We start from the raw sequence: 26,317 nt of genomic DNA, 5'->3' as shown, positions 1-26,317 counted from the left end.
AGGAGGCTGTGGAAGAGAATTGCTTGAACCCGGGAGGCAGAGGTTGCAGTGAGCCGAGATCATGCCACTGCACTCCTGCCTGGGCAACAGAGCGAGACTCCATCTCAAAAAAAAAAAAAAAAAGAGAAGAATATTCCGCAACTTAGAGCTTTTCCTTTGCATGATATGATGTTTACAGGCGAGGTGGCTCCGCAGCCTCGGTGGCCTTTCTTCCAGCTGAAGATGCCCACAGGAGGTGTCAGTGCAGGTATAACCACCTGTGGGTCAGAAGAAAATGCCTTTGCAAGTAAATCTCCTCCTGGATGAAAAGGCCCATCTGTGTTCCAGGCAAGGACAGTGGCCGCTTCTGCGTTTCTGTGGCCAAGCGTCTGGCGTGCGGGTGTGGCTGGGCTCACCATGCTGTGCGGGCTACACCTGCTGCAGGAGAAGTGTGTTTGTGCTCGAAGAAGACAATGTGGGTGTCGGCCCGGCGTTTTTAGGTTGGACTACAATAGTGAGAGCTGCAAATTGGATGATTCTTGGAGCTATTTCATGAAGGTCAAATTTTCTTTTGTTTTGTTTTATTTAATCTCTCCCAGACTTCTGAACTTTTGCTATGTTGAATTTTTAGTTCTTCAAGGTTATTTGGCCTTATTCTTGACTTGCATGTTTTTCTGCCCTAGCTCTACCACATTATCTTTTTTTTTTTTTTTTTGAGAAGGAGTTTCACTCTGCTGCCCAGGCTGGAGTGCAATGGTGCGATCTTGGCTCACTGCAACCTCTGCCTCCTGGGTTCAAGTGATCCTCCTGCCTCAGCCTCCCAAGTAGCTGGGATTACAGGCGTGCATCACCACGCCTGGCTAATTTTCGTATTTTCAGTAGAGACAGGGTTTTACCATGTTGGTCAGGCTGGTCTTGAACTCCTGACCTCAAGCAACCCCCCGCCTCGGCCTCCCAAAGTGCTGGGATTACAGGTGTGAGCCACCATGCCTGGCCCACATTATCTATTTCTAAGCCTTTAATATTTTTCATTTACCTGCTACTGCTCACTCTACCTTGTATTCTCAGGGAGGGTGTATTTCTTCCCAGCTTTATTTTATTTCTTCTCTAAATCTCAGAATTATTGCACCTTGTTGATGTTCACATTACTGTATTTAGTTTATTTTATTGTATTATTAATATTATTATTATATTTGAGACAGGGTCTCACCCTATCACCTAGGCTGGAGCATAGTGACACAGTCATAGCTCACTGCAGCCTTCATTTCCTGGGCTCAAGCAGTCCTCCTGCCTCAGCCTCCCAAGTAGCTGAGATCACAGAAATGCACCACCACACCCAGCTTCCTTTTCTTTTTCAAAAAAACAGCTTTATTGACGTATAATTCACATATGATGCAATTCACCCTCTCAAGTGTATGATTTGGTGGTTTTTAGTATATTCATGGTGTTGTGCAACCATCACCACAACCTAATTTTACATTTTCGTCACCCCAAAAAGTAACCCTGCATCCGTTAGCAGTTACACCCTCTCTCTCCTAAACCCATGGCAGCCACTCATCTGCTTTCTGTGTCTACAGATCTCCCTATGCCAGACATTTCATATAAAGGGGATCACCTAGTTCGTGGCCTTTTGGGACTGGCTTCTTTAACTAAACATCATACAGCTTTATTTCCATTTTCAGTGTATTCCCTTTTTTTGTTTTCAAGTATTTAGTGGCTACCTAGTCTCAGATTTTAAATTTAGTTTTTCCTTTCTCTTCTTTCTATAATCTATTTTTCATCATCTACACTGTGTGCTTGAATCAGCACCTCTTAGAAACCTACGGATGAGCTGTTAGCTCTCTAGGGACAAGAACACGGTCTGGGACCCCCGTCCCTGCTGCAGGTGTGACCTGACCCCCTCCCTCTGCCGACGTGACCTATCCCCCTCCCTCCCGTCTGTGGCATCTGGTGCATTTGGTGCTGTCATTTCACAAATAAAAGGTGATCAGCTGGTGGTCTGTTTCAGTTCTGGTATCTTTCCCCAGCTCTCTTGTTTCATAGCCTCTTCCCATTATTTAAACTCTGCTCTGTTACAGGATTCTTAATAGTTATTGCAGACCTTCATTTCCATTTTGTTGTCTGCAACTCATTGTTGAAGTGCCATTTGTTGCTTCTGAACAGCCCATAGACACTTGGACTTGAATGCATATGACTCTCTTCTTGTGGGTCCAGATCGTCACTCACTGACTGTCCTCACATTCACAGCTGTTCTCAGGACAAGCACCGTCTTTCCCTTTTTCGGATGTCCCTGTTTACCTGAATCAACTCATTTAATCCTCACAACAGCCCTGTGCTATGATATGACCATCATATCACAGCATTTTCGTTTTCTTTTTCTTTTATTTTTTTGAGACAGGGTCTCATTCTGTCACCCAGGCTAGAGTGCAGTGGCGTGATCTCGGCTATCTGCAACCTCTGCCTCCCGGGTTCGAGAGATTTTCCTGCCTTAGCCTCCCGAGTAGCTGGGACTTACAGGCACCTGCCACCACAGCTGGCTAATTTTTGTAGTTTTAGTAGAGACAGGGTTTTGCCATGTTGGCCAAGCTGGTCTTGAACTCCCGACCTCAAGTGATCTGCCCACCTCGGCCTCTCAAAGTCCTGGGATTATAGGCGTGAGTCACCGCGCCGGCCAGCATTTCCATTATCTAGACAAGGGAACTGAGGTCAAGCATTGGAGTGAAAGTCACCTAGGTGGCTTTTTTTCTTTTTTAACCTATTTATTTCTTTCAACCCTTAGCCCAGATCCTAACCTTCGGTAAGTACTCAGTAAACATTTAGTCTGCTGGGTGCATGAACGAGCGAATGAGCAAATGAATGACAGCGATAGCACCTGGTGGGCTGTTCGCTGGTGTGCTGGGTGTGCTGGGTGTGCTGGGTGTCGTCTCTCAGAGACTCATTTCTACAGTCTTTGTGAAGGCTCGTGCTAGTAAACCCTAATTCAAGAGGTTTCTTAGAGGTGGGAGGCGAAGGTCTCTGAAGTGTGTGGACTCCTGGACTCTCCCTATGTTAGCATTCTGGAATGTAGCATTTAGCAGTGGGGCATTTATTAACTCGGAATACAGAAGATAAGAAGCCAAGCCAGGCACGGTCGCTCACGCCTGTAATCCCAGCACTTTGGGAGGCTGAGGTGGGCGGATCATGAGGTCAGGAGATCGAGACCATCCTGGCTAACACGGTGAAACCCCATCTCTACTAAAAATACAAAAAAAATTAGCCAGGCATAGTGGTGGGTGCCTGTAGTCCCAGCTGCTCGGGAGGCTGAGGCAGGAGAATGGCGTGAACCCGGGAGGCAGAGCTTGCAGTGAGCTGAGGGAGCCACTGTACTCCAGCCTGGGCCACACAGCGAGACTCTGTCTCAAAAAAAAAAAAAAAAAAAAGGCCAAAACAGGGGAATGTGGTCACTCAGGGGATGCCTGTCATTCCCATTTGGCTGTGATGGCAGCTGTTTAGCCATTACTGGGAGAGAGAGGGAAGCTGGGTATAGAAGGTACCTGTTTAGAAGCAGGGGTGGGGAAGCGGGAGGGAGAGAGAGAGAGAATGCGTGCACATGCTCTAAAATTTTATTTTCTGGCTGGGTGTGGTGGCTCACGCCTTTAATCCCAGCACTTTGGGAGACAGAGGCAGGCGGATCATTTGAGGTCAGGAGTTCGAGACCAGCCTGTCCAGCATGGCAAAACCCCCTCTCTGCTAAAAACACAAAAATTAGCCAGGCATGGTGGCACACACCTGTAATTCCAGCTACTCAGGAGGCTGAGGCAGGAGTATTCCTTGAACCCGGGAGGCGGAGGTTGCAGTGAGCTGAGATCGCGCCACTACGCTCCAGCCTGGGCAACAGAGCAAGACTCTGTCTCAAAAAAAAACAAAAAAATTTTTTTTTGGTTAAGCAGAAGATCAAATTAAACAGGCAAGGTGCCTACCCTTTGTTTCTTTCACTTTCTTCCATAAATCCATCTCATATTTTATTATTTGGGACTTCTTTTTTTTTTTTTTTCTTTTTTGAGACAAAGTCTCACTCTGTCACCCAGGCTGGAGTGCAATGGTGCGATCTCGGCTGACTGCAACCTCCGCCTCCTGGGTTCAAGCAATTCTCCTGCCTCAACCTCCTGAGTAGCTGGGATTACAGGCATGTGCCACCACGCCCAGTTAATTTTTGTATTTTTAGTAGAGACGGGATTTCGCCATGTTGGCCAGGCTGGTCTCAAACTCCTGAGCACAACTGATGCTCCCGTCTCGGCCTCCCTAAGTGCTGGGATTACAGGAGTGAGCTACCGCGCCTGACCTGGGACTTCATTTGTTAAGAAGAGGTTAAGTTTCACCAGCAGCCATTTGTAGTAGGAACTTGAGATTTATCATCAAATATTGGGACAACAAGAACAAATCAGTTCTTATGATTATTTATGGTGCATATGAGTAGGAAGGACTTACAACCCTCCGGAGAGCATTTTAATGTTAACATATGAAAGATATTCTCTCTTTTGTACCAAAACTTTTGTTCTTCTTACGCAGAAAGAATAGATAATTATAAAATATATCTATGACTCCATAGGCTTTGGCTATTTGGTAGATTAAGAGTATTTTTATCTTTATTTTTCTTATTGGCTGATTACAGTTTAGTTTAAATAACTCTCATGCCGCTTGGTCGTTTCCGACCTAGTCGTGAGGAAGAATGCAATGCAAAGTGAAAGACGTTTTTGGAATGTTTCTGAACCAGCCCAAGCTGATTGCCTCTTTTCTGTTTATTGTTTTAAGTCATAAGTGACGTAAGCTTCTAGGCATTTGTTATGCTATGTGGCTGGCTCCCAAAGTCATGTCTTAAAACATTCTTTCCTTCCTGATTATTCTTCTCTTTCTTGTTTTTCTTTTCTTCTTTTTCTTTTAATTTTTTTTTCTTTTTTGAGACGGAGTTTCACTCTTGTTGCCCAGGCTGAAGTGCAATGGCACGATCTCAGCTCACTGCAACCTCCGCCTCTCAAGTTTAAGCGATTCTCCTGCCTCAGCCTCCCAAGTAGCTGGGATTTACAGGCGTGTGCCGCCACGCCTGGCTTGTTTTTCTTTTTCTTTTTTTTTTTGAGACAGGGTCTCACTCTCTTGCCCAGGCTGGAGTGCAACGGCGCACTCACAGCTCACTGCAGCCTCAACCTCCCGGGCTCAAGTGATCCTCCCATCTTAGCCTCCTGGGTAGCTGGGACCACAGGTGCCACCACACCCAGCTGATTTTTAAATTTTTTATAGAGATGGGATCTCGCTATGTTGTCCAGGCTGGTCTCAAACTCCTGGGCTCAAGTGATCCTCCTGCCGCGGCCTCCGAGAGTGCCGGGGTCACAGCTGTGATCCCCGTGCCTCGCTGTTGTTCTCTTTCTGTTGAGTTGGCAGTCAGGTCCTTGATTCTTGGTGGCTGAGGGTATCTCAGTCCAAGGCAAGAATCCCACAGAAAGAGACTGGGACAAATGAGGCCAGAAATGGGCCTCGCCCATCACTCTTTTCCAAAATGGGCTTTGTCAGTCACTCTTCCTATACTTGGGTCACCAAACCTGATCACCACTATGTGCAAAGTGCAGTTTTAGTTTTCAAAGAAGTGACACTATACTTAAGAATACTTAAGAACGTTAACTGCGTTAACCTCCACGCACACAGCCATAGACAAATTCCCCCGTCAGACAGGAGCCCATTAGGAAATGCCCACCCCTCTCTGTAGCCTTTGTAAAATTAAGCTGATAAAAGACATCGCTGTTGTTGAGGTTTAAAATCAATGGATAACCAGGAAAGAATATAAGAAATCATATTAATTATTCTCCTGTTTACACTACACTTAAATCATTTAGCTGTCTTTTTTTTTTTTTTGGACCTTCTGCTGCAAAAGAGCCATTCTAATGAACTTGGACCCCAGGGTCCATGTGTGTGGTTATTCATTAAATCATGTCGCCTGCAGAGTCTCCTGACTTAAGACTTTCGCTGGGCTTGAACTCAGTAACCTGTCCTGATGTATTTCTCAGGCGTTTGTGATTAGGCAGCTGGGCTCTGCCTTACCTGTCAGGGTGATAACCCTTCTGGTTCTGACAAAAGGTTTCACTTTAAATTTAGCTTTCCATATTGAAGCATAAATAAAAAGATAATTTACTTCCCGATTTTGCTCGTTGTGGACACGGAGGTGTGTTTGACCTTCGTAAAGCTAGTAGGATCATGTTATCACTATGGGTTGGTCATTCAGCGCTTCCTAAAGAAAAACTCAAGTCAGAAACAAATCAGGAGCAATTATTGATTTAACAGTTTTGCAAATGCTTTTGTATGTAGAAGGTGCATGAAAAAGATTCCAGTGATACGCAGATCAAACACTGCGTCGATAATCACAGCTAATGTCGAGTGCTTGCTGCGTGCGTGTTGATCATTTAAGCCTCACATGCGAGCTGTGTGGTAAGCCCTCCTCCTGCCCTCGCCTTAGAGATGAGGAAACTGAGAGGCAGCGATGAAGCAGCTCACTAGCCCTGCTCCTGTCCTCCCCTTAGAGATGAGGAAACTGAGAGGCAGCGATGAAACAGCTCACTAGCCCTGCTCCTGTCCTCCCCTTAGAGATGAGGAAACTGAGAGGCAGCGATGAAGCAGCTCACTAGCTCTGCTCCTGCCCTCCCCTTAGAGATGAGGAAACTGAGAGGCAGAGATGAAGCAGCTCACTTAGATCACGGGATTAGGGGGCGGACCTGGACCCGACTCCGAGGCCCCCTCCAGCAGCCAGGCCCTCGCCCATCACGCTTGGTTGCTTGTAATGGGAGCCTTGCCTCTCGCCAGCAGTTTGTGGGGAGTAGGTTTCCCGTTTCCACTGTTATTTCCTGACTCCCGTGCCTCCCAACTTCCCACCCGCTGTGGCTGGCATTTCCACCGGCTCCCTGGCTTGTCCTACGCCTCATGCCTCCTATGTGGCTCTTCTTTCTCCTCCCGCCCCCCTGCTGCCCGTGGCCCCAGAATGGAGGCTTCCCAGGATGGCCCACACAGTGCCCTGCACAGGTGCTGTGGCTCAGCCCTGGCCATTCCCTCCACACGTTCTCTGCTCCAGCCACACTGAGCTCCAAGCCATCCTTTAGCTATGCCTGCTGCAGGCCACCTCTGTAGAGGGCCTTTCATGACCTGTTCTAGTAACCCCCCTGCCTGGTGTCAGCCACCCCCGCCCCTGGCCTGGTTTGCTATTGCCGGGCTGACCTCGCCCCGTCTTTCAGTTCTCCGTGTGGAGGGTGCTGATCCGTCCGTCTCCATCTGCTTGTGAAGCAATAACAGAACAGCATAGGCTGGGTAATCTATACAGCACGGAAATTTCTGTCCTCATGCTTCAGGAGGCTGGGAAGTCCAAGATCAAGGCACCAGCAGGTTCAGGTGTCTGGGGAGGGCTGCATCTTCTGGAAGGGAGAAGGAAACTGGAGGGCAAGCGAGAGAGCCCCTTACAGCAAGCCCCTTTATGCAGGCGCCTGATCCCATCGCAGGGGAGGAGCCCTCCTGGCCTCGTCACCTCTTAAAGCCCTGCTTCCTTAAGACTCTCACTCCACAACGCCTGAACTTTGGAGGGGACACGTTCGAGCCACAGCCCCTTCCTTCCTGAGGCTTCTCAAGATGCCCCCTCCTGTGCTTCCTGGAGCACCCGTCCTTCCTTGTCCTGGGACTTGGCACGCCTGACCATAGTCATACCTGCTTGTCCTCTTGGCCCCTCTTCAGGTAATGGGCTCCACACAGGTCACGATCTCGGCCAAAATAGTCACACATCGTCCCTGCACCCATCAGTGTGTAGTAAACAGGAAGTGCTTAATAAATGTTTGATGAATTAAGAGTGACTCAGTAATCCCAGTACAAAAAAGCAACAGCAGACGTTGGAGATGTGCTTGAGGCACGTGCCCAGCTTGTGAGCAGAGGCCGCCGCTGCCACTCCGTGCTCCCCGTGGACTGCCGTGCTGAGCGCTGTGAATGTGCTGGCTGTCCCGTCGTGCTCCAGCTCTTCAGGCCTCCCTGCTCAGCCTCTCTCAGCTTCAGTTGCCACGCACTTCTAGGAGAGGCCATCTTGACTTTCTCTTGCAGTCCCGGAGCCACACAGGGAGCAGGTGCGCAGTCACCTGGGTGAGGGCCCCTTCCTGGGTTTCAGAGGCAGCCCAGTTCATGCTCCCAGGGCAGCCCTTGTGCATGGGGAGCCGTAGCCTCAGGCAGGGGCACCCTGAGCCAACAGCACCTTGCAGGGCCAGCCACAGACATAATGGAAAACCTCATCCTTCAGCCGCAACTTTTCCTACCTCCCATCAAAAAAATGTCCCTCCTCTCTCAGTATGTGGGGACTGCGGTCTCCAGAGTGGCCATCCACAGTCACACTGGCTGTCAGTGGCTCCTGTCACCACCCTGCCACCTGGTGACTTGTGGGCCACACTCAGGAGTCATGGGAAGGAGACCCTTAGAGCAGCCCCAGGACAGGCCTCCTTGCGTGTACTTCTTTGATGAAGGCGGGTATAAGCCCTGGCAGCTCATTGTCCTCTCTTGAGTCCACATAGGTTGCATTTTTTAACTCTGGCAAAGTGAAGTTACAAAGTCAGTCTGGTGTCGCCTGGGACAGGTCCGAGAAATTAGTATAAAGATGGCTTCACTCCTGCGTCGTATTCCAGTTCACGTTTCCATTTCAGTGTATACATGTTACAGTCGTGATTGATCCTGTGCATAAATTGGGATGTGGGTTTTTGTTGGAGAAAAAAATGCACAAAAGTTCAGGAGCTAAGTAAGAGTGAAAGATTTTCATTGGACCAGGTGTGGTGGCTCACACCTGCAATCCCAGCACTTTGGGAGGCCAAGATGGGCGGATCACTTGAGTCTAGGAGTTCGAGACCAGCCTGGCCAACACAGTGAGACCCCCATCTCAAAAAAGAAAGAAAGAAATAGTTGGACATAGTGGCGGACGTTTGTAGTCCCAGCTACTCAGGAGGCTGAGGCTATAGGAGGTGGGGGCTGTAGGGAGCCATGGTTGCACCACTGCGCTCCAGCCTGGGCAACAGAGCAAGACCCTATCTCTAAAGGAAAAACAAAACAAAACAAAACAAAACAAAACATGAAGAGTTTCTTGGGGCCAGTTGGCATCTAAAAATATCTAAGTCTTTTGATTCTCAGCTATGACCTGGCTACGTTCTAGGCTGTCTTTACGTGTTTCTAGGACTCTTGGCAAATTCTCAGAACAGTTGACTTAAAAAGATTAGCCACGTAGTATTTTTACAAGGAGAGAGGGAGGTGAAGTGATGAGATGGGGCCATACTTATAAAATGATTCGGGATTATTGATGAAGTAGTCCCTAGGTTTCTGATTAATTAATTTTAAAGCGCTGACCAAATATGTACCCAGCGTAAGAAGCCAGAGTCGATCAGTGTTGTAGACACGTCGCCTCTCGATGGCATCTTTCCATGCCACACCCTTCACGACCTGAAGCTGGAGCTTAAACCCTTCAAGAAGGGTCCCTGCGACCGGGTGCAGTGGCTCACACCTGTCATCTTTGGGAGGCCAAGGTGGGCAGATCACTAGGAGTTCTAGGCCAGTCTGGCCGACATGGAGAAACCCTGTCTCTACTAAAAATACAAAAATTAGCCAGGCGTGGTGGTGGACACCTGCCTGCTCACAGGCTGAGTCAGGAGAATTGCTTGAACCCAGGAGGTGGAGGCTGCAGTGAGCTGAGATCGCACCATTGCACTCCATCCTGGGTGAGAGAGTGAGACTCCATCTCAATTAAAAAAAAAAAAAAGAAGGGACCCTGCTTTGTTCATGATTTTATTCTCGGTGTGTGGCATACACTAGGCCTGAAATAAATGTTATTTAAATGTTAAATTACATTGTCCCTCCTTCCGATACATTTGCCATCTGGTTAAATTCCAGTGAAGTCAAAGGATGGATTTCTTTAAATAAAGTTTGCTTCTTTTTCAAAAATTCCTTGGGCTCTTTCTAGAAAAGCTGCTCCTTTGCCATCTTCCCAGCAGATTCCCGGGGCAGGATCCACCCACCTGTTCACAGCTCCTTCCAGCGCAGTGTGGGTCCGGCTGTTAGCTCAGCCTCAAAGGAGAATTGTAAAGATACAGGTCAAGTGTCCTTTTGACCACCTTTTTTTTTTTTTTCTATATGCGGGATTTTGTGAGACAATAAAATGCATGTGGACCTCAGCTTAACAAAAGCTGAATGTTCCTGGGGTGAGTGTTTGAATCCAACAGGAAATAGATGCTCAACAGCTCTGAGTCTGGGGAGGTTTTAATGGCCTCTTGGTCCCTGGTAGGGTCTTGTTTTTCGGGGTAGTTTTGCAGCCTCTGACACAGGTAAGATGGTCAGTACCGGAAGCTGCCATGACGTCTAGACTGACCGTTAGGAAGGTACTCACTGGACTGGTATTCACAGATGGAAATAAACCAAAGCAGTGTCTAGGGTCAACCAATCTGCTTTGCTGCCTTCACGGGGAGGTCCTGGGACCCTTTCATGGAGGAACTTTTTAATGCTTATTTTAACCCTGAAGGTAAAACATGAAACATGCAGCCATTACTCCAAGAAAACGTAACGTGGGTGAGTGGTGTGTCTCGGGGGCCCACGGTCTCCCTGAGGCCGCATCTCTCTGGAGAGATCGTGGACGTCCGTCGTAAACTATGACCTATTCACATTTTCACTTTACTCTCAACTTTCCAGGAGTGAGTCCTCTCCAGAGAGCAAGACGGAGCTGCGTTTCAACAGACGGTGCTTTCAATCTGTGCTGACTGTAACTTTTATCCATCATAGGTTTGAAGACATACCTGATATCGGGTCAGAGAGCCAAGGAGTCTCGCTGCAGCTGTGCAGAGGCCTTGCTTTCTGGCTTTGAGGTCATTGACGGCTCACAGGTGTCCTCAGGCCCTAGGGGACAGGGGACAGCGTCATCAGGGAATGTCAGTGACTTGGCGCAGACTGTCAAAACCTTTGATAACCTTAAGGTTAGTTTTTTTGTTTTTTTTTTCCTACTTCTAAAACTTTCTATTAATTCTGCAGTAGAGCACGTGAAATAATAAGCAGCCTCCAGGTCTGAGGCAAACAACTTGGAATGACCTTCGATTTGGTTTTCACGATTTTAATATTTAGTCTAAAGTTAGTAGCATTCTGCATTTTTAACATCCTTGCTTTTTGACATATGACGCACCTCCATTGCCTTTCCATTGCACAAGGATGCTTCTCATTTGAATTATTAGTTATTTTCTCTTCCTGGGACCTGTGGTGCCTTTTGGGATTTCTAGAAGCTGGTGATAAATGACAGTAAAGGTGGCTTTCCTTGGCACCTTGGGTGGAGAGCTAGTTGATAATCTGATTTCAGAGACCACTTTCTCAAATACTTCTACGTCTCTTGAAATCCACTATTTTATGATTACTTGAAATGATGTTGGTGTGGGTGAATCCTAGGACACAGCTCACTGAGAGGACAGGCTGCCGAGAACATTGTAGTATTTCATTATTGGAACCGGGATCTCCTGGTAGCTGCCTAGAAGTGCCCGTTTCTGGACTGACCTGTCATCATAAACTACCAGGGAATTGGCGCGGTCGACCTTGGGTGTGTGAAATCATTTCAGTTTATGAGCTGTTCCTTTGCTTTCACATTTGATTTAGTTTCCCCACTGGTACCTTCTGTTTATTTTTATAGTTTAAACATCTACTGTCTCCATTCTTAAAATGAGACAGAGAATCAAAACAGCTCTCCTATGCTGCTTTGTGTTCTCAGATAACACAGTGGGGTATGTGTGAGGATGGCGGCCAGTGGTTACAGCTTCACCCAATACGTCCCTGCCTCTCCACATTCATTCACAGGTTTGAAAGCCGCTATTGGTATTTACGAGGAACAGTCTTCATTATGTGGCAGTCAGCTGGGGTATGCAGATTACTTACTGGGTCAGAATACATAGTGCCTGTCGCCCAGTTACACGTAATGATTGCACTCGGGTTCTGTCAACTCCGCTCGTGGATCGCGGTCGTTGGGTGCTTTGTTAGTGTAATGCAGGGCTTCTCACCTTGGCACCGCTGGCATTTTGGACCAGGTAGTCATGTGTTGTGGGGCTGTCCTGTGCACTGTCAGATGGCTGGCAGCATCCCTAGCCGCCACCTGCCAGATGGCAGCATACCCACCCGTACCCTACTCCCCAGCTGTGCCAACCAAAAATGTCTCCAGACATGGCCCAGTGTCCCCTGGGGGTGCAGAGTCACCCCTGGGTGAAAACCACCGGGACAGTGGTGTTGGACCCTCTCTTCCCTGTACTCTTGGCACATGTGTAAAGCTCATGTATCTGAGATTCCCTGGATGCCTGCAAACTTTAGAGACAGCCGCCTTGCCTGGGCTGACGTTGTGCAGGAGTCAGAAAATGGAGCTCTGGGCTCCTAGACAGCGGACCCGGGCAGGGAGGGGCTGGCGTGGGGTGGAATCGGGAATGGTTTTGCTATTTGGGGAAGAATTGTTTCCTCCAGCCTGCAAACTGAGCTGTATTTAAGTCGTGAAAGACAGCCCCGAGCCAAAAATATATAATTCGTTGTGTTTGCCATTTTAGCTTCCACATATGTGTGTTTCTGTCCGTTAGGGGATGCGGTCGCAGAGTTCACCATATCACATGCTCACGGGTTTAGTGACCACGGTTTTAGCAATGGCGATTCTACACTACATTGCACTCTAGTCATATATATTTGTTTTGGTCGGAATGAGCAAAAACCATTTAGCGTATCTTCTTGGCATGTGGAGATTTTCCAAATATTGTTGAAAGTTTCTGAGAATCTTGTGATCTATCAAGTTGACAGAAGGCCGGGCATGGTGGCTCACGCCTGTAATCCTGGTGCTGTGGGCGGCCGAGGTGGGAGGGATGCCTGAGGCTAGGATTTCCAGACCAGCCTGGTCATCGTAGCAAGACATCATCTCTACAAAAAAATTTTAAAAATTAACTGGGCTTGGTGGCCTGTGCCTGCGGTCCCAGCTACTTGGGAGGCTGAGCCAAGAGGATCACTTGAGCCCAGGAATTTAGGCTGCATGAGCTATGATTTTGCCACTGCACTCCAGCTTAGGCCACAGAGTGAGACCTTGTCCTGTCTCCAAAAAAAGGGAGGAGGGTGCTCAGTGGTAAAGTAAATTCGGGAAGCTTGGGATATTCAACACAGAAAGGGTTTCTTTACTGCAGGACTTCTCGGAGCCTTCACTAGGCTAGTAGACAGTAGCTAGGCCTTCAGAGGAGGACGCGGTATATACAGCATTCTCAGGCCTCTTTGAGCACAATTGTTTTTTTTCAAGCTGCACCTTGCAGGGCTAATGTGGTCACACCTTTTGGGGGAATGCTCATGTAGTAAAAGGAGTTTCATGCCAAGGACCAATACATTAGAGAAAAGGTGTTCAGGAAACGTTCCCTGAAGGAGCATGCGTAGATTTTCACGTGTGTCCTGTTCCTGCTGCTGCTCACTTGAGATACTCATGGCTTCTCTTTCCCCTGAACTCCTGTCTGCATTCACCGTTCAGCTCCACCACGCCTTCCCGTGCCTCCGCAGCTGATAACGCTGTTCCCTCGTCTCCAAATTCTCAGTCCCTTCAGTCTGTCCCACTTGGCTGTAACATACACGATCTTAAATCTTTGTTTCTTATGCGTCTTCCTGGGAGCTCTTTGCATTCAGAGACTGAGTGTTAAATAACTTAAATATTTCCCAAGTGTCGAGCATGGTGCCTGGCATGTAGTAATTAACAGTTTCTTTTTGGCTTTTTAATTCTTTAATTAAACACATGGAGCGATGCAGCTCTGCAGAGCCAGGCGAAGGACTGAAGTCAGAAGCCCGAGCAGAACTGTGTAGAACCAGGGCAGCGCCCACGAAGGGTTTATTTCCTGCCCTTAGCATGTGTGTCCTCTGTGACCTTAAGTCATCTCCTAGGTCATAGCTGGAAAATTCTTATCTAATGTAACATAACCTGTGTACTGTAACGACCTACCAGGAAATGATAGTGATGTCAAAGGCCAGGGCTTTGGTCCTGAAGTCATAGCTCAAAGGGAACCCTTTCTACACCCAAGTGTTGGCTTCTTTTTTTTTTTTTTTTTTTTTTAAAGAGATGGGATCTCGCTCTGTTGCCCAGGCTAGAGTACCAGTGGTATGATCTTAGCTCACTGCAGCTCGAAACTCTCAGGCTCAAGTGATCCTCCCAAGTCAACCTGCTGAGTAGCTAGGACCACAGGCATGTGCCACTATGCCTAGCTAATTTTTAAATTTTTTTTTTTTTGCTATATTGCCCAGGATGGTTGCCAACTCCTGGGGTTATACCATCCTCCTGCCTTGGCCTCTTAAAATGCTGGGATTACAGTCATGAGCCACTGTGCCTGGCCTTGGGTTCTTGAAATGACCAGCAGTGAGAGGTCCTCATCCTAAGGGCCCTGACATTGCATAATGTGGGGGACAGATACTGCCCGAGTGAAGGAAGGAGAGGTCAAGAAGGAAACCAAGGAGTAAGCATTAGACATGAGGACGCCACTGTCAGCGTCGCGGAGGGGAGGCGGACCACGGCGGGCAGGGGCGCAACTTGAAGCAAGACCCTTCTCAAGCCTTGGCTTTGCGACTGTGAAGAAACTGCAGCCAGGTGCAGTGGCTCATGCCTGTAGTCCTAGCCACTCAGACAGCTGAGGCAGGAAGATCGCTTGAGCCCAGGAGTTAGAGGCTGCAGTGAGCTGTGATGATGCCACTGCACTCCAACCAGGGTGACAGAATGAGACACTGTCTCAAAAAAAAAAAAAAAAAAAGAAAAGAAAGAGCAAACACACACTTAATTCCTCTAAGTGAGAGTTTTCCTCTTCAGTGCGGTGGTGATAAGGAAGAGACCTCTCGGGATTGCTGGGAGATGAGCCGGAATGGTGCCTGTGGACGCCAGGGCTGAGAAGAAGCCTCGCTCACACTCGGCACGCACGCCTTCACTCCACGCAGAGCAGGGACAGTGACCACAGACGGAGCCATGGAGGACTGGGAGGGGCCGAGAGACGGTCCCAGCTTGCCTGCAGGAAGTCACTGACTCTCTGGGGAAGGTCCCATCTTCTCCACGGTTCCGATTCGAGGGAGATTCTCACAGTGATTGCGGCTGAGCATTGCTGTGGGTTGGATGCTCTCGGCCGTAACCAAGTCACTTGTATGACACGGGAGCATGTGTGCCTTGGCCTGTTGAATGTGACGTCAGCGCTCCAGCAGGCATTTGCTTTCCATTTTCTCATGAACCCTGTGGGTGATGAGTGGATCTAGATGCCATATATCAATAAAAACAGCTTTTCCAACATCTTCATGAAGAAAAAGAAAACCCAACTGGGCTCAGTGGCTCATGCCTGTAATCCCAACACTTTGGGAGGCCGAGGCAGAGAGATCACCTGCGGTCAGGAGTTCAAGGCCAGCCTGGCCAACATGGTGAAACCCCATCTCTACTAAAAATACAAAAATTAGCCAGGTGTGGTGGCATATGCCTGTAGTCCTAAGCCACTCAGGAGGCTGAGGCAGGAGGATCCCTTGAACCTAGTAGGTGAAGGTTGCAGTGAGCTGAGACCACGCCACTGCACTTCAGACTGGGCAATAGAGTGAGACTCCATCTCGAAAAGAAAAGAAAACCCAAAATTGAATTACTTGTATCACATTACTTCTGATCAGGGAACCATTTGAGCTGTGAAAGCATCTTAGTACATCTCTGAAAGGCCTCCCTGGAGCGCACCTGCGTGGCTGGTCTTCCTGAGTTTACCTTCATCTATTATTCAGAACCCCGGGCTGCTTGGCCACTGGGTGTTTCTACATGGACCAGTCAGTAATGAAGCTAGTGATGTAGATTTACCCATACGGGGATGATTCAGAGAGGACCTGTCCTGCTTTCAAAAGGTTTCTCCTTCCCCTTTAAGGCCACTCACCTCAGGAACCATCCTTTTGTGACAGTGAATTTTGAAAATGACCCTAAATGATAACTTCTTTTATCTACTTGTTTTCTATGTGTCAAGTCATTATGAGTAGGCTCAGTTGGCCCAATTTGAGGAAGTAAGGGGCTTTTCATTCGTTATAGAAATTGAAAAAATGATTTCATATTTTATAGACACATACATATATAAATATATATAGCTTAGAAATTAAATAGGTATTTATTATAAGTGGTAGTCTGAATTGATAGTGGTGATGCTTGCACATCCCTGTGAATATGCTATAAACCCTGGAGTTATATACTTTAAATGGGTGCATTATATGCTTTGCAAATGACATCTTAAGAAAGCTGTTGTAAAACTAAAGGGTAGTCTCCGCCAGGTGAGGTGGTCACACCTGTAATCCCAGCACTTTGGGAGGCCAAGGCAGATGGATCACCTGAGGTCAAGAGTTCGAGACCAGCCTGGCCAACATGGTGAAACCCCATGTCTACTAAAAATTTAAAAATTAGCCGGGTGTGGTGGCTGGTGCCTGTAGTCCCAGCTACTTGGGAGACTGAGGCAGGAGAATCTCTTGAACCTGGAGGCGGAGGTTGCAGTGAGCTGAGATCATGTCACTGCCCTCTAGCCTGGGCAACAGAGTGAGATTCCATCTCAAAAAAAAAAAACAATAAAAAAAAAAAACCATCTCTACAAAAACTATAAAAGTTAGCCAGGCATGTTGGTATCCACCTGTAGTCCCAGCTACCTGGGAGGCTGAGGTGGGAGGATCGCTTGAGTCTGGGAGGCAGAGGCTGCAGTGAGCCAAGATTGCACCATTGCACTCTAGCCTGGGCACTAGAATGAGACCCCATCTCAAAAAAGAAAGGTGGGGGGCGGGGTAGGAATAGGAACTTCACAGTGGACAAACCGGGCAGATGCCACCTTCACCAAATGATCCAGGTGAGCCTCCCTGCTCACTGCCATCCGGTACCCTAGTGTGGTGTGCTGAGAAGGGCATGTCACCTCTGCGGCATTCTTTCCGCAAACCCCAAACCTCAGTCTGCTCTGAGAAAGCACCAGGCAGGTCCAGATCTGGACATTTGACAAAATGCCTGGCCGGGACTTCAAACGCAGCAGGGCCAGAAGAGACAGAGAAAGACAGAGGAACCCCCATAGGCTGGGGGTGAGCAGGGGGCATGAGGGCTAAATGCAACACGGGACCTAGAGGAGACCCGAACAGCAAAGGGACGGTGCGGAAACTGGGGACATCAGAATAAAGCCAGCAGCTTAGTTAACGGTATCGCGCCAGCATGAGTTGCTTTGGTTTTGATAACTGTACGGTGAGTATGTACGGAGGATATATGCAGAGTCCTTGAACTGTCTTTCCCACTCTCTGCAAGTCTAAAATTATTTCAAAGTAAGAAATTATATATGTGTGTGTGTGTGTGTGTGTGTGTGTGTGTGTGTGTGTGTAGAGAGAGGGATGGAAATGTATGTGCGGAATCATTGAACTGGCATTGCCAGAGAGTGAAATATTGCATTTCCATGAAATTTCCCCAGATGCCAAATATTTTCTTATCTTGACTTCATGATGGACTGTTTCCACAGCTGGTAACAGTCTTCCTGCCTGACAGTCTGCTGAGTATATTTTCATCTATTCTTGACTCGGATCGCCATCACCAGCCTGGTTATTGAGCCCAGTGGTCCTTTAGGGCTAAGGGATTGAGTGAGAGGTCCAGGGACTTTTCGACTCCGCCCCGTGTGGCTCTGAGATTGTGTGTGTGAGTTTTACACGTGTGTGTTCATGTGGTGACTTGTCTAGTATTCTCAGGCCATCTGCTGTCTGTTCTTACTGCTTTGGGGATGTAAGAAAATTTCTTTTTCTGTGATAATTACTGCTTATCTTTTCTTCTAATATTCTGCTTCTATTTTTCTCTAATGTTGCATTAGCAGAAATACTCTATTTTGTACTTATGCCCGTACCTAACCTGTTAGCTTAAACAGCAATGCCAGGGACATAGAGTTAGCCCCATGGCTCTGCCGCACTGACAGGCTGCCCCGTTCACCTGGAGATCGTTGGGGCCAGGAGCTCTGCTGCCTGGGCTCACCGCCTCTTTACGCGGTTCCGACCGTACCGTGTGGCTCTGGGCCAGTGCTTGCTCTGTCTCAGTGTCCTCATCTGTAAAATGGAACCGATCATAGTACCTGCATCGTGGTTGCTTACGAGGGTTAAGCAGATACAAGGAGTTTCAAAGAACACCTCAGGAAATTGTGTTTGTGGTTATTGTGGTTGCAATATCATGACTATTCCTGCTCACCATGTTAACATCATTTTGAGTTTGGGAGCAAAGGATGCTTCTGATAACACGACATCTTGCAAAACAGTCGTGTTGAGAAGACGAAGCAGGCAAAGCCAGGGCTCTTCTACTGGTGTATCCTCCTCATTTCTGAGAAAAGAGGTTTCCCCACTCCCTCCCTTGACAGTTTTGAAAAGGGACAGCTGTTGGCTTAGAAATGATTTATCTTGTGATGAGAAATAACCTTGAAGAAAAAACGATTTTATAGCTTTGTGCCATATATTTTGACCGGAATGTAGGGTGCACGTCCTGAAATGTGTTAAAAACAAATGCAAATGTGCCCAAGTGTGTTAGAGAAATGGCTACACTCTTCCCTCCAAAGCCCACGTCCACATGGGGGAAGGAGCAAAGATAATCCGGAAAAATGCAGAGTTTGCTCTTGGGCGTTCTCCAGGGAATCTCAGGTTACCCAGGCAACAGCCAGCAAACTCCCTGGCCCGCCAGGCGTGCTGCTGGGAGGACCTTAGAAGTCTTGAGACTTCCCTTGATGCCGGAGGGCCCAGGGTGCTGCTTGGAAGAACCAGGAGGACAGGCATAGCTGCTCAGGTCACTCTAGGGAAACAAGGCCCAGGAGAGCAAGGTGCCAGGATTATTCCTGGGTCCTCCTTGTGCCAGGAAAGGGGGCCAGAGCCATATGACGGTGGTCCGGGTCCCAGGGCCCTGGAGTCTGTGGCCGTCTGCGGAATGATCATTGCTGCCTCACAGTGTGGCTGCAAAGGACGAGATCATACAGTCGAGACTGCAGATATTGCGTGGATGGGGGCCCGACTTGTTCACGGGTAGGATCTTGGCCCATAGACATTCCTAAGTCATAGTAGCTACTGTCATTATGACACTGCTTTTTCTCTAATGTGCCTGCCCGTGTGGCTCCCTGTGAGCCAGCTGCTAGGGTTGTCTCCCAAGGCAGTGAGGTGCTTCCATGCCTGCAGCTTCCTGGAGTCAGAAATACTCTTCCCAGGGAGGGCTTCTCAGCAGGGGTGGAGATGCCTGCAGCTGTGCAGGGGGAGACGCTGTTTAGCCGGCTGGGAAACATTTCACAGAGGCATCTGTACTTGGCAAAAAACATGTTGTGAAATGTCTTAATCCAGATTAAAATTAAGCTAATGAATCGCTCAAGGAAAATTGCCATGGGGGTTGGGGGGTAGGAGGTCAGGGGAGGGAAACAAACCCACCCACCATTGCATGGTGGGACCCTCCTGGTACAGAAGGGGCCTCTAACTACAGCTCAGAAGGGGATGTTGAGATGTGAGAATCTCTCCATTGGGTAGATGGATTTCTCTTTTTTTCTTTTCTTTTCTTTTCTTTTCTTTTCTTTTCTTTTCTTTTCTTTTCTTTCTTTCTTTCTTTTCTTTTTTTTTTTTTTTTTTTTTTTTTTTGAGACAGAGTTTTGCTCTTTTGCCCGGGCTGGAGTGCAGTGGCACCATCTCGGCTCACTGGAACCTCCACCTCCCGGGTTCAAGAGATTCCCCTGCCTCAGCCTCCCTAGTAGCTGAAACTACAGGTGTGCACCACCACGCCAGGCTAATTTTTTGTATTTTAGTAGAGACGGGCTTTCACCATCTTGGCCAGGATGGTCTCAATCTCCTGACCTTGTGATCCACCCATGTTGGCCTCCCAAAGTGCTGGGATTACAGGCATGAGCCACTGCGCCTGGCTTCTTTTTTCTTTTTTAAAGAGACAAGGTCTTGCTCTATGACCCAGTCTGCAGTACAGTGGCATGACCATAGCTCATGGCAGCCTCTCCCTCCTGGGCTCAAGCGACCCTCCCACTTCAGCCTCCTGAGTAGCTGGGACTACAAGCACACACCACTGTGCCCAGCTAATTTCTAAAATTTTTAAAAAGCTTTTGTAGAGATGGGGTCTTGATACATTGCCCAGGTTGATCTCAAACTCCTGGGCTCAAGCAAGCCACCACACCCAGCTCTAAGATTTCTTTTGTTTCATTTGTTTGAAAGTTTTTATCTAGAAAATTATCCCTCAAAAGGAAGGTAGCTGAGGAATCTTGCTCTGTCGCCCAGGCTGGAGTGCAGTGGCACAATCTGGGCTCACTGCAACCTCCGCCTCCCGGGTCCAAGCGACTCTCCTGCCTCAGTCTCCCCAGTAGCTGGGATTACAGGTGTGTGCCACCACACCCAGCTAATTTTTGTATTTTTAATAGAGACAGGGTTTTGCCATGTTGACCAGGCTGGTCTTAAACTCCTGACCTCAGGTGATCCACCCGCCTCAGCCTCCCAAAGGGCTGGGATTACAGGGATGAGCCACTGCGCCCAGCCAAAATCCGCATTTTCAAAGTGCAGTAAAATGATGGCTGCTGGGTCCGGGTGACACAGGTCTGTGGGACCATGCCACCCAGCGCGGCCTGGAGTCTGCACCTGGCTCTCCCCCCACCTCCCATACTCCCACTTCCCGGACAAACCTGCTGGGAATGGAATAGGCAGTGAGCACTGTCCCGGCCCTCAGGAGGCCCGAGCGTGGGTGTCTACAGCTGGCCATGTGACCCAGACAGCCCCCTTCCTTCTGCAAGCGCAGCCTCATTTGCCATTTGTGGGCGGCTCTGCCAGACCTCACTTCTGTATCAGAACTTCTTATCACTGCAGGGTGCAGGCCTCGGCCTCTGTTCAAGGGGATGTAAGCAAAGCACTGAGTTCCCCACCTGTGGAGACCACTGCCCCAGGCCCCCAGAGCTCAGCCTCATCCCAGTGGGCATGCCCGGGCTGCACCGGCCTTCCAGCCCCTCTGAGGGAAGCCCTTGTGGAGGGCATGGAGCCCCCTGTCCTCAGTGTGCCCTCTGGTGCCAAGTTGGTTTGACTGTCACGGTGACACATTCATGGCTCTAAATGCTTAGAAAATCTCATAAAGCCAGTGTGCCGTGGGGGGCACTGAAGAAGCAGGCGGCCTCGTCTTAAAGCACAGGAGGGTTGGCCGGGCACGGTGGCTCACGCCTGTAATCCCAGCACTTTGGGAGGGCAAGGCAGGCAGATCACTTGAGGCCAGGAGTTCGAGACCAGCCTGACCAACGTGGTGAAACCCCATCTCTACTGAAAATACAAAAATAAGCCAGGCGTGGTGGTGGGCGCCTGTAATCCCAGCTACTCAGGAGGTTGAGGCAGCAGAATTGCTTGAACCCAGGAGGTGGAGGTTGCAGTGAGCCAAGATCTCCCCACTGCACTCCAGCCTGGGTGACAGAGCGAGACTCAGTCCCAAAAAAACAAACAAACAAAAAAAGAGAGAAAAGCACAGCAGATGAACTTGAGGCAAGAAAAATACCTGAAACAGACTGACGCCAGGAGATTCCTGTGACTAAATGGCTACAGAAGAATAGATACCAAGGGCTGTTCTGTCTGTAATCAAGGACATTGAATTACCAGATGAACTTTAATGACCAGAGAGCATAGTTAACAGAAGTTTTCATATTCACTACCAGCATTTACTGAGCACGCACTTGCACTTCGGGCTTTGGCTGAGCCAAGTGCAGCAGACGCTTCCACACCTCCAGCTTCCTTTCCTGGTCTACCGGTTGGGCCCTGAAATGGCTGGTGTGCCCCATCAAGCACCAAGCCCCCCACCTTAGCCACACCAGAGAGTTCCCTCAGGCATCTTTTAGGCATGGGTATCAGGCACACCTATTTTATTCTTCTCTTGGTGTTAGATTTTTTTACATTTAATAAGAGCAGTGGTCTCATTGGCAAATATATACATATTTATACATATATATATGTATTTTGAGAATGGGTTTGCTCTGTCACCCACGCTGGAGTGCAGTGGCACAATCACAGTGCACTGCAGCCTTGACTTCCTTCGCTGAAGCAATCCTCCTGCCTCAGCCTCCCGAGTGGCTGGGACCACAGGCACGTGCCATCAAGGTCAGCTAATTGGTTTTATTTTTAGTAGAGACAAGGTCTCCCTATGTTGCCCAGGCTGGTCTTGAACTCCTGGCCCTAAGCAGTCCTCCTGCTTCGGCCTCCCAAAGTTCTGGGATTACAGGTGTGAGCCAGCACACCAGCAAAATGTTTAGAAGTTTAACTCTGCCAGTCAATACCAAGAGGTGCTTTCAAATAGACTCACTGTATGTTATTGATAACTAGAACATTTTACCTCTGTTGATAATGTCAGTTTTTAAAGAGCTGTAAGCAAATGTTATCTAGATGCCATTATTTGCTCAGATATGTTAATTAATGATTTCGCTAGCTGTTTTGGCATGTATATTTTCATTTTTTGAATGCATACAAATGTTCAAATTTAGCTTGTATGTTACATCAGATTCCCAAACTATACAACCCTGTAGAATCTTTGTTTCTTTTATTTAATATAGTACAGGTCTGCAGTCTAACTTTAAATACAACCTGGGTCATATCTTTGCCCTTAGGTAGTGACACTTACTTTAAATTTCCAAAATAATATCTGGCCTCCCATAATTTATTTCAATGTTTTACACTTCTTGCTGCAAGGAAATTGCTTTTGAGTCCAAAAAAAAAAAAAAATATATTTCTTGCCACGGTTTGTCTTCTTCATTGGAAGCTGTTAGTTGCTTTCTTAGATGGTTCCTAGGTTACCTGGTCACATTAATAATAATAATAAGTTTATTACGGGTATACTGTATGCCAGGAACTGTGCTAGGCTATATATATACTTATTTCATTTAATTATTATTTTTTTAAGACAGGGTCTTTCTCTTTTGCCCCAGGCTGGAGTGCAGTGGCACCATCAAAGCTCACTGCGGCCTTGACCTCCCAGACTCAAGCAGCCCTCCCACCTCAGCCCCACAAGTAGCTGGGACTACAGGCACATGCCACCAGGCCAGGCTAATTTTTATGCTTTTTGTTGAGGCAGGGTTTTGCCATGTTGCCCAGGCTGGCCTCAAATTCCTGGACTCAAGCCATCCTCCCACCCCAGCTTCCCAAAGTGCTGGGATTACAGCCGCCACACCCAGCCAATTTCATTTAATTCTTAGCAACATATCTTCACTCTTTGTTTATAGATGAGGGAACTGAGGTAAAGTGATTTGAACAGAGTCTCCAAACTAGTAAGTACTTGACTAGGGTTTGAATCCTAGTTTATGAGAAATAAAGGCTTTGCTCTTTTTAGGGTACCTGTATTAAATCTTGCCTTCTCTTTTCTAGGTCCATTAATTCCTATAAACTTTTAAGTACGCCTAGATCTGGAAATCGTGTACCTTTGATTATTCAGCCCATCTTATGAGACTAGCTCACCATCACACGGAGCTTAAGAACCTTGGATTTGTGTCCTCGCATAGTTGGTGGCCAGTTTCTTTACTTAATAACAGCTTTGTTGAGATATAATTCACATACTATAAAATCGATCTTTTTGGCCAGGCACAGTGGCTCATGCTTGTAATCCCAGCACTTTGGGAGGCCAAGACGGGTGGATCACCTGAGGTCAGGAGTTCAAGACCAGCCTGGCCAACATGGCGAAACCCCGTTTCTACTAAAAACACAAAACAAGTAGCCGGGCGTGGTGGCAGGCACCTGTAATCGCAGCTACTCAGGAGGCTGAGGCAGGAGAATCGCTTGAACCCAGGAGGTGGACGTTGCAGTGAGCCAAGATCGTGACACTGTACTCCAGCCTGGGTGACAAGAGTGAAACTCCATCTCAAAAAATATTTAAAAATCGATCTTTTTAAAGTGTACAGTTCAGTGGTTTTTAGTATATTTAGCAAGGTTGTGCAACCATCACCGTGATCAATTTCAGAACATTTTTATCATCCCAAAGAGAAACCCTGTTGAAATACCACAAACCAGGTGGCTTTTAAACAACAGAAATGTATTTCTCAGGGTTCTGGAGGCTGGGAAGTCCGAGATCAAGGTCCCGGAAGATTCAGTGTCCAGTGAGGACCCGTTCCTGCTTCACAGATGGTGCCTTCTCCCAGGGCGAAGGGACGAGGGATTCCTCTGGGGCCTCTTTTATGAGGGCACTAATCCTATTTTGAAGGCTTGTCCCCCATGACCTAATTACCTCCCAAGGCTTTGCCCCCCAATGCCATCCCCTTGGGAATTAGGATTTCAGCGTCTGACTTTTGAGGGGGCACAAACATTCGAATCGTAGCAAACCCCACGCCCCTTAGCAGCCACTCCCCCTTCCTGCCCCCGGTCCCGCCTGGCAGCCAGGAATCTGCCTTCTCCCTCCAAGGATTCACCTTTTCTGAATATTTCACATAGACGGGATCACGTAATATCTGTGCTGTGTCTGGCTTCCCTCCCCGAGCATAATGTTTTCGAGGTTCACCATGCTGTGGCAGGCGTCAGTGCTTCCGTCTTTTTCGTGGCTGAGTAATATCCCATTGTTCGAATAGACCACAGTTTGTTGATCCATTGTTCAGTCAGTGAACATTCCCGGTTCCATTTTTGGGTCCTGTTGCGTTCGTGCCCGGGTTTCTGTGTGTTTCCACTGTCACTTTGCCCGTTGGCTTTCAGCTCATCCCCGAGCGGTTCTGTGTGCCTTCCCCTTGCTCACCACCATGCTGCGTGACGGCAGATGGCAACAGCGGACCTGCCTGAATTCAGGGTGGCAGTCGCGGTTTCTGGGTGTGTCCCCACAGTCTGTGTTTTTCTTCTAGACCTGCCCTTCGTGCGGAATCACATTTGCTCCCAAATCTGAAGCCGGCGCCGAGGGAGGAGCACCTCAAAACGGCTGCCAAGACGAGCATAAAAACAGCACCAAGGTAACAAGCTCATGGCTGTTGTTCCTGTCAGTTCCTCTCCTGGCGCATCCACCCAAGGTGACATTCCTGTCTTGTCGACTTCTTAGTTCTGAGAGTAACTCCTCTTGGGTAACAGCACTCCGCACCCGCGGGTCCTCCGGGTGTTGAAGAGACCGGCAGGGAGCTCGAGGGAGGGTCAGCAGCAACCCACGTGGAAACCAGCGCTCAGGGGCTGAGCTGGGCGGGATTCCTTTAAAGGCCAATAAGGGTTTAAAATGCGTGGATTCGAGTGCCGGGAGGGGATTTGTGGTACTGGAAGCTGGACTCAGTTTATGAGAGAATATAGACGGGCAGAGACAAGAGGGGGTCTTCACGGCGAGAAAGGCTGGGTGAAGAGAGAGGTTGGGAGTTAGGGCCGGTGGCAGGAAGGCTTTCAGGAAAACCAGACTTGGACACCAGGGCCAGGACTCAGCCCACCCGCGAGAGCCTGTCGGCGGGGGCTCATGCAGGCGACTCACCTGGGGCGCGGGCTCTCGTCCTCCATCTGCTCTCCATCTGCCAAAGGATTGCAGGTGCAGGTCATCCCATGCCTTCCCACAGCCACGGGGGACACCCACGACACGAGCCCGTTTCCATCCACCTTGCCTGTGCCCTGACAGCCCTGGACCCCTCGTCATACTTCTCCTGGACCCCCGACCCATGCACCCTGCTCCCAGAACCGTGGTTCTGGCCTAAGCAGACTCTGGGGGCCTCGGCTCCTCACTTTCCTCCCTTCCCCTCCACCTCCGCACCGACTCTTCCCATGTCTCAATGTCCTGGCAGCCTGAACACCCAGCGTTACCACTGGGCACTGTTGGGTAACAGGAAGGAGCAGACGGGCAGTCAGGGCTGGGATTGGAGCAGGTCTGTAGGCGCAGGGGGGTGGGGGTTCCTCGCAGGTCAGAAAGTCCCACGCCCAGTGCAGCAGCGCCCCGCAGCGGAGGTCGGGGTGGGACAGGCGTGTGTGCCCAGTGCCCGGTGCCACTTCACTTCCCGTGTCTGCGTCCTCTTTGTCTCGAGGCAGGCTTCTGGAGGACCTAATCCCAAAACTCAGAACGGGCTCCTCAGCCCTCCCCAAGAGGAGAAGCTCACCAACAGTCAGACTTCTCTGTGTGAGATCTTGCAGGAGAAGGGAAGGTGGGCAGGGGTGAGCCTGGACCAGTCGGCTCTCCTTCCGCTGAGGTTCAAGAACATCCGGGAGAAAACGGACGCCCACTTTGTGGACGTTATCAAAGAAGACAGGTACGACTGGGGCTGTCTGGGAAAAAGCAAAGGTTGCAGGCAGAAGCCTCTCTGCCTTTTTCTTTTCTTTTCTTTAAGACTGAGTCTCGCTCTGTCATCCAGGCTGCAGTGCAGTGGCGCGATCT

The 26,317-nt window shown here is 48.7% G+C and overlaps 1 protein-coding gene and 1 long non-coding RNA gene across 4 annotated transcripts in view, besides 6 other annotated features; one reads left to right on the top strand and one right to left on the bottom strand.

The window, feature by feature from the left end:
- ADCY9 (adenylate cyclase 9) overlaps positions 1-26,317 on the top strand; it is a 163,056-nt gene that overhangs the window by 98,105 nt on the left and 38,634 nt on the right. For 2 of the 3 annotated variants that reach the window (XM_011522353.3, XM_005255079.4), the window contains exons 3-5: positions 10,780-10,970; positions 24,828-24,989; positions 25,975-26,192. In XM_011522353.3, coding sequence (XP_011520655.1) covers positions 10,780-10,970; positions 24,828-24,989; positions 25,975-26,192 — 571 coding nt within the window. The remainder of the gene's footprint in view (positions 1-10,779; positions 10,971-24,827; positions 24,990-25,974; positions 26,193-26,317) is intronic. The other variant, NM_001116.4, reaches the window with a different exon arrangement.
- Positions 2,756-3,050: a silencer, noted in NCBI's record as "tiled region #11986; K562 Repressive DNase matched - State 4:PromP". NCBI's record gives its function as "represses a minimal TATA promoter and a strong SV40 promoter by Sharpr-MPRA in K562 cells {active_cell/tissue: K562}" and the evidence as "EXISTENCE:reporter gene assay evidence [ECO:0000049][PMID:27701403]".
- Positions 5,950-6,594: an enhancer, noted in NCBI's record as "H3K27ac-H3K4me1 hESC enhancer chr16:4061745-4062389 (GRCh37/hg19 assembly coordinates)". NCBI's record gives its function as "activates a minimal SCP1, AML or CMV promoter by ChIP-STARR-seq in naive H9 embryonic stem cells {active_cell/tissue: H9 hESC(naive)}" and the evidence as "EXISTENCE:reporter gene assay evidence [ECO:0000049][PMID:30033119]".
- Positions 6,595-7,240: an enhancer, noted in NCBI's record as "H3K27ac-H3K4me1 hESC enhancer chr16:4061099-4061744 (GRCh37/hg19 assembly coordinates)". NCBI's record gives its function as "activates a minimal SCP1, AML or CMV promoter by ChIP-STARR-seq in naive H9 embryonic stem cells {active_cell/tissue: H9 hESC(naive)}" and the evidence as "EXISTENCE:reporter gene assay evidence [ECO:0000049][PMID:30033119]".
- Positions 17,316-17,610: a silencer, noted in NCBI's record as "tiled region #15077; HepG2 Repressive non-DNase unmatched - State 23:Low, and K562 Repressive non-DNase unmatched - State 9:DNaseU". NCBI's record gives its function as "represses a minimal TATA promoter and a strong SV40 promoter by Sharpr-MPRA in HepG2 and K562 cells {active_cell/tissue: HepG2 | K562}" and the evidence as "EXISTENCE:reporter gene assay evidence [ECO:0000049][PMID:27701403]".
- Positions 20,118-20,898: an enhancer, noted in NCBI's record as "H3K27ac-H3K4me1 hESC enhancer chr16:4047441-4048221 (GRCh37/hg19 assembly coordinates)". NCBI's record gives its function as "activates a minimal SCP1, AML or CMV promoter by ChIP-STARR-seq in primed H9 embryonic stem cells {active_cell/tissue: H9 hESC(primed)}" and the evidence as "EXISTENCE:reporter gene assay evidence [ECO:0000049][PMID:30033119]".
- Positions 20,899-21,680: an enhancer, noted in NCBI's record as "H3K27ac-H3K4me1 hESC enhancer chr16:4046659-4047440 (GRCh37/hg19 assembly coordinates)". NCBI's record gives its function as "activates a minimal SCP1, AML or CMV promoter by ChIP-STARR-seq in primed H9 embryonic stem cells {active_cell/tissue: H9 hESC(primed)}" and the evidence as "EXISTENCE:reporter gene assay evidence [ECO:0000049][PMID:30033119]".
- LOC124903633 (uncharacterized) lies at positions 24,014-26,208 on the bottom strand. The gene is made up of 2 exons (XR_007064956.1): positions 25,430-26,208; positions 24,014-25,296 (listed from the first exon to the last, which is right to left on the bottom strand). It is a non-coding gene; the product is annotated as an uncharacterized LOC124903633 (long non-coding RNA).

The sequence above is a fragment of the Homo sapiens genome, chromosome 16, assembly GCF_000001405.40.
Source record: "Homo sapiens chromosome 16, GRCh38.p14 Primary Assembly".
In the NCBI taxonomy this organism is placed as follows: Eukaryota; Metazoa; Chordata; class Mammalia; order Primates; family Hominidae; genus Homo; species Homo sapiens.
The sequence above is the reverse complement of the archived record's forward strand: the minus strand, read 5'-3'. Positions and strand labels throughout refer to the sequence as shown.